The sequence below is a fragment of the Homo sapiens genome, chromosome 17, assembly GCF_000001405.40.
Source record: "Homo sapiens chromosome 17, GRCh38.p14 Primary Assembly".
Classification (NCBI taxonomy): domain Eukaryota; kingdom Metazoa; phylum Chordata; class Mammalia; order Primates; family Hominidae; genus Homo; species Homo sapiens.
This window is the reverse complement of record NC_000017.11, coordinates 80,886,843-80,899,873: the sequence shown is the minus strand read 5'-3', so window position 1 is coordinate 80,899,873 and position 13,031 is coordinate 80,886,843. Positions and strand designations below refer to the sequence as shown.

The window sequence follows — 13,031 nt, the reverse complement described above, 5'->3', positions numbered from 1 at the left end:
TCTCTGAGCTGAACTCAGCCTTGTTTTTCTATGGCCTGTGTATGGTTCTTATACTTTTTAAGTGGTTGAAAAAAAAATCAAAGGAACAATATTTTGTGATGTGAAGTTACGCAAAATTCAAACTTCAGTCCACACGGTTACATAGCAACATGGCCAAGTTCATTCACCTACACGCGGTCTCTGGCTACTTTTGCACCACACTGGCAGTGTTGGGGAAGTGCCAAGGGGCAGTCCCACCTGCAAAGCTCTTTCACAGGAAGAGTTTGCAGACTCCTGCTCTAACCTACACGTGACGGAAGGGAGCTATCACCTTGACCTTGATGAGCGTGAACTGGGGCAGAGGTGGCACTAACCTGCTGGAGGCGCTAGAGAGCTATTCACAGGAGCTGTGGCCGGGGCCAGGGGAAATGTGTAATCAAAACAGAATACTATGAATTTACATTTTCTAGTACTTAAAAAAAAATTTTTAAATACCTTTTTTCATTGTAGATTTATAAGTAGAATTTCTGCAGACAGGTTTTAAAAGACTCTTGCAGGCTAGCCTGGAAACCTAACCACTATATGTAACATTAATTCTATTTAAAAAGTGTATTCCAGTTCAAAACAAACATCTTACAAGTGACGTTAGAATATATTTCATTGGTGACTTGGCAATACCTTGATTTATACTCGAATATACGGAGTCAACTCTGCGCTTTCTGGGCACTTGGCATATTTTAGTGGACAGCCAAATGCACAAAGCTGCAACGTTATTTCTCAATGAAAATTAACAAGTTGGCGTGTCTGGGCTAAGCTGGCGTGTCTGGGTTGTTGTGTAGTGAACCTTTCAGTTCTCCATACCCTGGAGGGCATGGTGCAAGCTCTGGACTCGTTCTATCCAGAGGTGCTCAAGGCAGCAGCTGGCCAAGGCTGGGAGCACACCCACAGGGTTGCCCGGTGGGAACTGCCTTGGCGGATGCCCTGCGTCTGTTTCGGGTCTTTGGGCTCCTGTCATGCGCTGCTGTCATTGTGGCTGGACCGCCATCCCCAGGAACCACAATGGAAGTAGAAAGAAAGCTTGAAGCTGAACACAAGTGAAAAGCCCATCATCAAAACTCACTAGACGGAGACGGCGGGGTGAGCAGGGGCGGGGTGAGCAGGGGTTGGGTGAGCAGGTGCGGGGGGAGCCGGGGCGGGGGGAGTCGGGGCGGCGGGGGGTGGGGGGAGCGGGGGGGGAGCGGGGGCAGGGGTTGGGGGAGCCGGGGCAGGGGTCCCGCAGACCTGAACACACACATTAGGAAGGAAGAAAAACTCAAAGTTAATGAGCTGTTTTTATTTTCTGTTTGAGAACTGTAACAGGACAAGAGAGTGAACCTAGAGAAAACAGTAGAAAGGAAACAAAATAAAGTACTGGAATAGAAAAATAAAGATAAAATAATGCAGTAAATCCACAAAGCCTAAAAGTTAGAACTTGAAGACACTAAAGAAATGAACAAACATCTTAGAGGATTAATCAGGAAAAAGGGGAAAAGGCAAATAAACAACAATAGGAATAAACGGGGACATATCTAAAGAGGCAGCAGATTGGGAATATCAGTAAAAGCAGCTAAAACAATAAAGAGACAGCAGAGATTAGAGACTCATGAGAATACTGCAGACAGCCTCAAGGGAAAGAATGAGAATACTTAGCTGAAATGAATAAAATCCTAGAAGAATAAAACTTTTTGAAGCTAGCTTATGAAGAAATAGAGAATGTAAATAATCCTATCAGCATTAAAGAAATGGAATACAGAATTCAAACCCACCCTCACAACACTACACTAGCCCAGACAGTTCAGGGGCAAATTCTACTCAGACACCGAAAGAACACATCATCTTTGTCTTATAAAAATTGCCCCCGAGGACAGGGAATGACGGCGCACTCCTGAGCCAGTTTTTTTGGACAGGGAATGAGGGTACACTCCTGAGCCAGTTTTGTTTTGTTTTGTTTTGTTTTTGTTTTGAGATGGAGTCTCACTCTATTACCCAGGCTGGAGTGCAGTGGCGTGATCTTGGCTCACTGCAACCTCTGCTGCCCGAATTCAAGCAACTCTCCTGCCTCAGCCTCCCAAGTAGCTGGGATTACAGGCACCTGTCACCATGCCCGGAGGAGCCAGTTTTACTAGGCAGGTACAGACTCAATGTCTAAACCAGCCAGGTCAGGACAAGAAAAGTCACAGCCCAACCCACTCGTGAATGCCAATGGGGAGCGCCCAAAGAAATAGCTGGTGAGCGTAAGGCAGCGATGTCAGGGGACATTACCACGCTGGGTGCCCCCAGAAATGCAAGGATATTTCACAAGAAATTCAATCATGTAATTCCCTACCCTAACAAACAGCCATGCACAGGGTCATTCTGAGATGCAGAAAATACATTCAAAGAAATTAATTCCATTTATCAGGAAAATTCTTAACTAACTAGAATAGAATGGGAATTTGCACTCATAAAAAGAGTGAACCAAAGGGAAGGGAATTTCTATAAACTGATATAGAGCACCCACTCAAAAAATCTACAGCAAATGTCGTATCAAAGGTAAAAGGTTAGAAAGGTTTCGTTTACTCTCAAGAGAGAAACACAGATGTCCACTGCCATTCTTTTTTTTTTTTTTGAGATGGAGTCTTGCTCTGTTGCCAGGCTGGAGTGCAGTGGTGTGATCTCCGCTCACTGCAACCTCCGCCTCCCCGGTTCAAGTGATTCTCCTCCAGTAGCTGGGACTACAGGTGCGCACCACCACACCTGGCTAATTTTTTTATAGTAGAGACAGGGTTTCACCATGTTGGCCGGGATGGTCTTGATCTCCTGACCTCGTGATCCGCCCGTCTCGGCCTCCGCCTCCCAAAGTGCTGGGATTACAGGCGTGAGGGACCGTGCCCAGCCCACTGGCATTCTTTCTTTTTTTGCCAGCAACAGGTTTTAAAAAAGATATTACTTAAAATTACAAAAACTGAAAGGTAACGTCATGCCTGTGACCTTTATGCAGAAAGTTAGACTGTCTTGAAGACATAAAGAAGACTTAAGTAAATGGAAAGATACACCCTGTTCAGGAGCAGGAAGACTCATGATGCAAGGAAGTCAGTCATCCCAGGGAAATCCACCAATTCAGCGCCATTCAAACAACACCCCAGTGAGGCTGCTGTCGACACAGAAAGCCTGACTGTGAAATGTATACAGCAGAGCAAAGGGCTAAGAGCGGCCAAGACAGTTCTGAGAAACGAACTGAGGAGCGGGCTCAAAGGTGCTGCCCCCGCAGCTGTGGTGTGACGGCGCGGCCGTGTGGGGTGTCGGCGCGGCTGTGTGGGGTGTCGGCGCGGCCGTGGGGTGCCGGGGTGGCTATGCGGGGTGTCGGTGCGGCCGTGGGGTGTGTCGGTGCGGCCGTGGGATGTGTCGGTGCGGCCGTGTGGGGTGTCGGCATGGCCGTGGGGTGTTGGCGAGGCCGTGTGGGGTGTTGCTGCGGCCGTGGGGTGTCAGCGAGGCCGCGTGGGGTGTCGGGGCGGCTGTGTGGGGTGTCGGCGCGGCCGTGGATGGGATGGGTGCTGCTAAGAATGGAGCCCCCACTCAGACCCTAAGGACTGATGGCCAGGGAGACGCTGAGAAGCACTGGCGGGAGGACGGGCTGTCTGATGAAGGGTCTGGGGTGGCATAAAGAAAAAATACAACCTGGATCCCCACCTCACCACAGAGACAAAATGTGGTTCAGGATATACTTAAGACATGAACACAAAAAAGGAAAATTTTAAATCTTGGAAGAAAATGTAGGAGAATATGTTTAGGACATTGAGAATAGGAAAAACAAGACACAAAAGGCCCAAGTTATAAAGAAAAAGAGAAACTAAAAGATTAAGCTTGTGTGGCACCAAAGGCATCATAAAAAGTCATAGATTAGATGCATTTTCGATGGATATATTCAGCCAGGAATCAGCACCCAGAACTGTGATGAATGCTGATTACAAACTACTCAGAGAAAGATAAACGACACAAGGCGAGTCTGTAAGGCTGCAAGGCTGTAACCTCACTGCAATCAAGGCAGATGCAAATTCATGCCACAAGGAGACACCAGGTGTGTCTATCAGACAGACAAAGGCTGGCCAAGACCGGCGTGGTAGAGAGTGGCGAGATGGGGGCGCCTGCGCTTTAGAACAGAGGATCCCGTGGAAGGCCTGGGGCGACATCTACAAAAGCTGAAGGTGCAGGCACCGTTCACGCAGCAGCTTCACTCTGAGGCAAGGTGGCGAGAGGCACTCACGTGTATCCACGCTGAAGAACACGCACCACACACGTGCCCGTTTATGTGTATTGAGCACCTACTGCGTACCAGGCACTGGGTGTGGACAGGGTGGGAGGAGACAGTGGTTAACAAGGCTGGGTTCCTGCACGTGCGGCTCTCAAGCTCCAGGGGAGAGAGATGGGCCGGGCCAATGAACAAGTTACACGTACAGCACGTCTGCAGTCCACAGTCCTCAGGAGAAAAATAAAGCAGGAAAAGGGAGCAGGGTCAGAGGGCAGCTGGGGAAGCCTGATTCCAGGTGGGGCGTGGGGCTGGGGAGGCTTCTGGGAAGGTGCTGCCAGATGGGGGCTCTGAATGAGAGGGGAGCGGCCACCATATGCCGGAGAAGAGCTTCCCCACCGATGCCCAGGCTGGGGGCCGGGTAGGCTGGGGCCCAGCAGAGCTGGGTGCAGCGAGTGAGGGTGTGTTGGATGTGGGGCTCCATGGTGGCAGGGGCTGAATTCTGAGTTTGCTTATTAAGAAAAGGAACAAAAGGCAAGAAGAAACTAGAACCGGCCTCACTGTCCCCAGACAGGAGAATGGATAATGGAGTCACGGCAGATCGCGGAGGTGAAGGAACAAAACCTAGATGACCATCAAAGATACATATTGAAGTCAGAGCCAAAGAAACGGGCTTTGCGGGCCACGCATCGTGCGACGGCGCCAATAGGAGGTAAAGGCCTCTAAGTGGGCACCACGTGTGTGCCAGGGCTCATGGCCAGGGAGGGAAAGTGTAATGTCACCAGAGGGAATGGGACCGGGGTAGGGTCTGGGGCTCGACCTCTGTAATTCCTTAAGCTGGGAACACAACACACACACACACACACGCAGCGCTCTTATATAAGTCTCTGTAAATTTTTACATGGCTAAAATGCTCCTTAACATGAAAAAAATTCAAATGAAGCCGGTAAGCCACTCTGGATAGTCAGAACAAGAGGAGATGAGGCTCATTTGGTTAAGCCCTAAATCTGTTACCAGCAGTGTGAAGATGAACATAGCTACACAATAAGAAAACACGGTGAATTCCTGCTTCTCCTGTTTTACAACAGCAATCCTGGTGGTAGGACCCAGGCACACACCATTCATGGCAGAACAAGAGAAGAATCTGACCCTTCCGTCAGATTTCCATTTCCAGGCAGTGCTGCGTCAAGCTGCTGGGATGGAGGGAAAGTTGTGTGGAGATTCCGCAGGTGAGCAGGGCGGGGATGACAGCCCCCAGCCCGACCGCAGGGCCCTCCGCCTCTCACTGCGGACACTGTGTGGGGGCTGTCCTGGGCACCAGGGGATGTGAGCAGCTTCCTGGCCTCACCCACTGGGACAAGGAGCACCCCTACTGTACCCCAGTTGCTCGTGGGGGGCAAAACCACCCCCGGCTGAGAACCACCGTTCTGCATCACCAGGGTGTCCAGCACCATGAAGAACTCTCACCCGTCTATGGAACAAAGATGGAAGGTTCTGGCAGCCTTCCCACCCAGCCAAACTGGCCAGCTCCGATGGCTCCGGAGCAGCCTGTAAAATACTACCCCAACACAACAGTGATGTCAACTTTCCCGCTTGCCCCAGCAAAACGTTCTCCCTGCCTCGCAGTCCTGTTGACCTTTATTCTTTCTTTTGAACAGACAGTTTTGACACCCACTGACCTGATGCAGACACAGGTCTGTGCTGCTCTGTGTGGGGAGGAGACCCTCGGGGCCCCTCGGAAGCAGAAAGGGGCAGGCGGACTCACCGATGAGGGAGTTGAGGGAGGAGTAGGAGCTGGCGCGGCGCATCTTGTCGATGGTCTCGAAGGACAGGATATGCTCCTCATTCTCGGGGCTGCCCAGGGTGCTGCTGGCGCTGCTGCTGGTGCTGAGGTTTCCGGGGGAGAACGCCACCGCGCCACCAGCTGCCCGAGACGCAACGGGGTCAGTGGGGTGCTCCCGGGACCCTCCTTTTGGTCTTACAGTTAATGGCATGACTGAGATACATATTTTCTTCTAAATAAAGCTCAGCACACCCAGGCACAAACACACCCTGGTACACACACACCCTGGTGCGCACACACCCTGGCATGTACACACACCCGACATACACACACCCTCATACACACACACCCTGGCGCACACACCCTGGCGCGTACAGACACAACCTGGCGCGTATACACACCCAGTACACACACCCTGGCACACACACACCCTTGTACACACACACACACACCCTGGCATGCACACACCCTTGTGCACACACACCCAGCACACACACACCCTGGCGCACACACACCTGGCGCGCGCACACACCTGGCGCACACACACACCCGGCGCACACACACCCTGGTACACACGCACCCTGGCGCACACACCCTGGCACACACGCCCCGGCGCACACACAGGCACAGGCACTCACTGATCTCCCTGGGAGCCAAGCTCCCCACCCGCAGACCACAGGTTACTGGGAGACGGGGGCAGGGCACAGCCCTCCAAGGAGCCACCGCCTCAACTGCGGCTGCGCTTGAGCTCCCTGCCGCATTGGTAACGGGCCCGCTGGCTATTCTGGGGGCTGGCCTACGCCTCCTTGCCATGCTCACGTCTGGAAGGGTGACTCATCACCATGTTGGCAGATGGGACTTCAGGGCACGCACTTAGACGAAGGGGCAGGGGCAGAGTGGTGCTTACTCAGATACAGTGTTTCAGAAAAAACAACCCCAATCTCTCCCAATCCAATAACCCGATTTCCAGGATCTTACATTCCTCTGTCAAACTCAGGTTCTGCAAAGATTTGTTGAGGCTCCTGGCTGTGGCGACAGCACGGATGTTTCCATAGGAGCTCACAGAACGAAGTCTGGGGGTGCACGGGCTGTCTCGCACTGGGGTCAAACTCCCTCCCTCTGGGAAAGAAGGAGAAAGACAAATTACAATGGGCTTCCAGGTGGAGGCCAGCGTGTCTTCTGACACTCAGCAGCTGGGACACTCGGTGACGGCAGCTGCTACCTGTGCTGCAACAAATGTCAGAGCAGGGGCTGCACAGCTCAGGGAGACTCAGACGTGAGCGGAGGCTCTGCGGGATAGCACTGGACAAACAACAACCGCTTGTGGCTCTGTGCATATTAAATTACAAAAGACAACAGGGGAGAGGCTGGTGGCTGCGGCCTGTCCGAGTGCACACGAGGTGCATGGTGACGTGGGCCGTGAGCCGTGCTCCCCGGGAAGCCGCAGCAGAGCAATGACCGTCCACACTCAGTCTGGCTCACCCTTCTCCCCTCCTGGGCTTCCTAGAAGCAGTGAGGCCTCACTGCTGATGACAAGCCCCTGCACGGCAGAGACGGCTGTGTGGAAGCGGGAGGGGCTGCCGGCAGCGATGAGATAGGAACTGTACTCTCCAGTCAAAACGACACGTGTGAGAAAGCACGCCTGACATGACTCACCGAGCCACGGAGCCAAGAGCAGTGTGATGAAATTACTCATCGCAGGAAGACGGCCCCTGCGCTTTTCCGCAAGCTCCTACTGCAGAAGTTTTGTCATACTTCAAGGTCTCTGTGAGTTTAATTTCCAAAAAGGGTAAAAAGAAAGGAAAAATGTAAGAGGGTCAGTGTGGCCCTCTTTCCTGCCCTTTTAAATCTGGCAGGTGCCTAAAAAGATGAGAAAAACAGGGACCCCTTGCGGCAGGTATCTGAGAAACCTGCGCTTAGACTCTGCGAGGGTGAGCAAGACTGGGCCGCGGCCTGCACTAGAACCGCCAGGCGAGGTGCTCTGCGGGTTCACAGGAGAAGACGCCATACCTGTGGTTGCTGGAGAAGGCAAGGCGTAGTTCTTTTCCTCTTCTATGAACTGCAGGGCCACGGTGCAGAAATTGCTTTCATACTGAACCACAAGATGACTCAGAGCCACCACCAGCTCCTGCCGAGAGGGAGAAGGGACAATAACAGTCACTGGGGCTGGAAAATGATTGTGGAGCAGCAGTGAGACTTGAGTCACCAACAGAAAAAAGAAAGGTTAAGACAAAACCGTGCAATTGGCATCAGAAACAGGGACCATCCCTTTTCGAACCGTCAGAGCAGAGGCCTTGGAATAGCAGAGTGCTGGGAGACGGCAGGCCACTGGCTCACGGGGGAAGCCCAGAATGCCTGCCAGAATCCTCCCCACTGCTAGAGGCGCACGACGCATCGGGGGTCTCGTAAGGACACGGTGAGTCACAGGACTCCAGAGAGGGAAAGGTAGGAGGCCTCACAGCCTCTCGCTTACGGTGACCACTGGGACCCTGGCTGAAAACGCCGCTCTAGATCACACCCGATGGCTGGCGGCCTTTCTGAATCTGAGCGCCCCAGGGCCGAGTGCAGCGGACAAGCCGAAGCCTGCTCTTTTCAACACATGTGAAACTTTCATTGGTAGATGTTTCTAGTCCCTAAGAGGGAACGGGAAAAGTTGTAGAACTAAAACATCATCTTTAGGACCAAATGCCTTGGTCCAAGGGAACAGACACAATTTGCCTCTCTTTTAGGACAGTTCAGTGCTGTGACAGGAACAGCTGGAGATCCTAGAAGTCACTGGGGAACAGAAGGGGGATGTAGGTTTAAAAAGCGGAAAGAACGTTTTTTTCCCTACGACAACTTTTTCTGCCTTTTTTTTTTCTGAAAAGAAAAAATACGGATTCTTAGCAGAAAGCCAAGCGCTGTGAGAGGACCCCTTGCTAGTCGCGTGACGCCCCTGTCTCCACAGCGGCTGGATGAGCAGGCTCTGGATGGGCGCCCACCAGGGACCAGGGTCTTCTCGTGGCCACCCCACTCTCCGTCTACGCACTCTCTGTACACGCACTTTCCCACCCCAGCCTTACATGCCCCGGGCTTCCTCCTATCATGCTTTGTGGTTTCCCTGATGCCGGCCCCTCACTCTCCTAGGTCCAGGCTGGCTGTCCAGCTGCCGGCTCTTCACCTGCACCCCAAACTCTCCCTGCCCTATGAACTGCGGGCACCGTCTACTTTCCCTTCAGCCTGCAGCGCCCTCTTGATTTGCGCCGATGGAACTGCAAGTCTCTCACTGCTCAGAATGGAGCCCTGGCATCACCCTCCACCCGCCCCTCCCACCCTGCTGGGCACCAAGGGCCATGGCCCAGTGTGCGTCTTCACGGCCATGGCCCACGCCCCGGTTCTGGCGCTCGTCTCCAACTGCCTAAGTCACTGTCCCAGGCTCCCCTGGCAAACCACAGAACCCCCGCTGCCTTCCCTGTGCAAGAGGAGTGAGGCACTGCCGAGACGGGGCCTCCGACAAAGCGAACACCCACTGGGCCCCTTCCAGGGAAGATCAAGGCTGCACCTGTCTTCAGAAAGCACCGATTTTTTTCCCTTTCCTTCTGACATCAGGTGAGAAAAGCCAGAGCTGGGAGCTGGCATGGATTAACGTGCACCGAGGTGGTGGGCCCTTCGATTCAGGGGAGGCCAACAGGGGCCACGTCTGTTATTCAAGGGGAATGTCCAGAGAGCACTCACTCCCGAACACACATCCTGCTGCGCACGGGGCCTCCCTCGGGGGCCGCACATCCCTCACTCCTGAACACACATCCTGCTGCATACAGGGGCCTCCCTCACTCCCGAACACACATCCTGCTGCGTACGGGGGCCTCCCTCGGAGGCCGCACATCCTGCTGTGTACGGGGGCCTCCCTCGGAGGCCGCACATCCTGCTGCGTACGGGGGCCTCCCTCGGAGGCCGCACATCCTGCTGCGTACGGGGGCCTCCCTCGGAGGCCGCACATCCTGCTGCATACGGGGGCCTCCCTCGGAGGCCGCACATCCTGCTGCGTACGGGGGCCTCCCTTGGAGGCCGCACATCCTGCTGGAGATGGCGGGCCTCGCTCTGGAGGCTGCTGCCTGGCACACAGCAAAGAGCTCTCCTTTGCGTTGGACCCTTCCTGCCCTTCCTGAATGGAGCTGGGCTCTGACAGCAACACACACACGCACTGGCCTTCTTTAGGATATTCATGCAGAACCCATCAGAGGGTCTGGCAGAGGTGCTCAGCCAGGGGTGTGGGAGCTCCCCTCTCTCTCAGCTTTTGCAAGATGAGCTTGGCTGGTGTTGTCATGTGACCCCTTCCCCCTGAGGGCTCCCCAGCAGCACACAGACGGGGAGGCCACATTAGTGGCCACGGGCTCCACACTGGCCAGGCTTCCCAGGTCCTCTGACCGGTCGCTTGTCAAAGCCATTGTCTGTCCTCCTGCTCCCTGGCTGGGGCTGAGCAGCCTTCCTCGAAAGGGAGGCAGCTTTGCCTGGACTCATACTTTCACCTGTCAGCTCAGCCCTTCCTGTCGGCTCCCCACCTTCAGAGTCCATGCGTGATCCTGGAACCTGCTCCTTCATGGCTGGCCCCTTCAACGAGGGGCAACTCTGCTCTTCTGTTGCTCAGACCCAAACCCCCAGGATTCCCTGTCCTCTTCTTTTCTCGTACCCTCTCCACCTGTGAGCAAGTGCTGTGAGCTCCGCATTCAAAGTGCTGGTGCCTCTTCCCTCCTGCGCCGTCCCTGCAGCTGGGCGAGCGGCCCCTCTCACCTGGGCAGCCGAAGGTGAGGTCCTGCCCCCAAACCCCTCCAGGCCTCTGATCACGAACGACAAGGCTTGTGCCTGGCTGGGCCACCTGCCCCACTGCCCTCCTGGCCTCTTGTGCCCACGCCCTCTGATGGGCACAGCCCCTGCACTGGGCCTCTCCCTGTGGCAAGGCCTCCCTGTGCCCCCAGCCCCATCCATACTGGCTCTGCTCAGCTGCCACCCCGGCCCACCACTCTCACACCCAGCCCCTCCCCCAGCTCCAGGGGTAACTTTCTTGAGAGAAGAGGCAGGGTTAGTGCCCTGCGGGGTCACTGAGGCCCCAGCCGGCCCGGCACGTGGCACGTGCCTGACAAGTGTGTTCTGGGTGGGTGCAGCCCTCCCTGCAGGGGTGTCGTCTGTAGCACATGGTTAGTTTCTAACCGTGAACTGGTGCCAGGACTCAAGGACATCTTTCTTGGACACATGTCCTGCCCCGCTGGGGGCCCACACACTTCCCAGTGTTGACACGGCTGCACTGACCATGGGCTACTGGCCCACCTCGCCTCTACCCCTTGCCCACCTGCCCTGAGGGCCACCCACTCCGCTCCAACAACACAGCACTGGCTAATATTTGTCTTGTGACCTGTGCTCAGGCATCATAAAACTCAGCTCCTGTGACCACAGCAGGCCCGAGCAGCGTCCTGGGAAGCATCTTGGGAGACCAAGGCCTGGGATTACAGAGTGGATCACTTGAGCCCAGGAATTTGAGGCCAGCCTGGGGCAACACAGCGAGACCCCATCTCTACAAAAAATACAAAAATTAGCCCAGCATGGTGGCACGCGCCTGTGGTCCCAGCTACTCAGGAGGCTGAGGTGGGAGGATCGCTTGAGCCCGGGAGGCAGAGGTTGCAGTGAGCCGAGATTGTGCCACTGTATTCCAATCTGGGTGACAGAGACTCTGTTTCAAAATAAAATAAAACAAATAAAATAAAATAGTATCTGAACAGTCCTTATTTCCTCCCGAGGCCATGACAGGGAGGGAGTAAGCCCCCATCCAAGCCCCGCTGAGCCCGTCCCTGTGTGCGGCTCCTGCCCAGCCCGGCCCAGGCAGAGGCTGGGGTGACACTGGGGGTTCTAGCCCCGCACCCCTGGCCTGGCCCTTCTTGACAAGGGACGGGTGGCTGCTGACTGCAGGTTTTGTACTTCAAAGACAGGTTGAAGTTCAAAATAATTTGGGGGCTAAGCTGAATTTGCTGACTTTTAAATTTTGTCAAGTAAGCTCATTAAACAAGTCAACAAACAAAACCTACTCGGCCATCGTTATCACCCCACACAGGAGAGGACACTTTTATTATTAAAAAGTAGGATGGATGTAACCTTTTTGGTAACCAGTACACGTTGCTTTTATGGAAAAGCAGCAGTAACACCCTCCTCTCTCCCACCCCAGAGGGTGCCAGGAGCCTCTCAGCCAGTTCTACTCCCCAACCCCAGCCCCACAGCAGGCTCAGGACGGGCTCAGGATGGTCCTTGAGAAGAGGCTGCGAGAATGGGGCCGGCTCCACGCCGCCAGGCTCCTTGGTGCTTGCACCTGTGCCCAAGTCCCCTGCAGAGCACCGTGCCTGCCCATGGTGGTTAGTAAACAGAAGAGAAAACCAGCTGTGATGCGGCAGGACTCTATGACGAGGATGGAGGCGCACCCCTGGAGTCAGCACCCCCCCCAAGAGTCAGCACACCCCCGGAGTCGGTACACCCCCCGAGCTGGCACCCCCCAGAGTCAGCACACCCCCTCAGAGCCAGCGCACCCCCCGAGGTGGCACCCCTCAGAGTCAGCACACCCCCTCAGAGCCAGCGCACCCCCCGAGCTGGCACCCCCCAGAGTCAGCACAGCCCCTCAGAGCCAGCGCACCTCCGGAGTCTGCGCGCCAGTGCAGCCCGCTTGGTCACAGGTGAGTGACGGTGTCTTTCTCTGACTCCTCGCTAGCCTTCCTCCCTCCAGACATCACCCTGCCAGCTGGCGTTATCAGCTCTGTTGGCTGCTTCTCCTGCTCACCCTCCATAACCAGGTAAGAGCTGCCCCTCCACAAAAGCCTCTGCTGACACCCTTCCCGCTCCGATGCAGGCACAGGCACAGCCCTCAGGAGCTCCACAGCACTCCAGGCAGTATTTCTCCACAAGGCTCTGGTGTAATGACCTTATCTGTATCTGCCTCTTTGATTAGACCACGTGCTCCCGGAGGGCAGGGGCTGTCATCCCCCTCTA

At 54.8% G+C, this 13,031-nt stretch overlaps 2 protein-coding genes across 3 annotated transcripts in view; one reads left to right on the top strand and one right to left on the bottom strand.

The window, feature by feature from the left end:
* RPTOR (regulatory associated protein of MTOR complex 1) overlaps nt 1-13,031 on the bottom strand; it is a 421,531-nt gene that overhangs the window by 66,495 nt on the left and 342,005 nt on the right. For both annotated transcript variants that reach the window (NM_020761.3, NM_001163034.2), the window contains 3 exons: nt 8,037-8,154; nt 7,005-7,145; nt 6,009-6,167 (listed from right to left, as the gene is read on the bottom strand). In NM_020761.3, coding sequence (NP_065812.1) covers nt 6,009-6,167; nt 7,005-7,145; nt 8,037-8,154 — 418 coding nt within the window. The remainder of the gene's footprint in view (nt 1-6,008; nt 6,168-7,004; nt 7,146-8,036; nt 8,155-13,031) is intronic.
* On the top strand, nt 7,703-11,765 carry LOC124904075 (uncharacterized). The gene is made up of 2 exons (XM_047437253.1): nt 7,703-9,614; nt 11,426-11,765. Exons 1-2 carry the CDS (start codon nt 9,130-9,132, stop codon nt 11,448-11,450), a joined length of 510 nt encoding a protein of 169 aa, XP_047293209.1. The 5' UTR covers nt 7,703-9,129; the 3' UTR covers nt 11,451-11,765.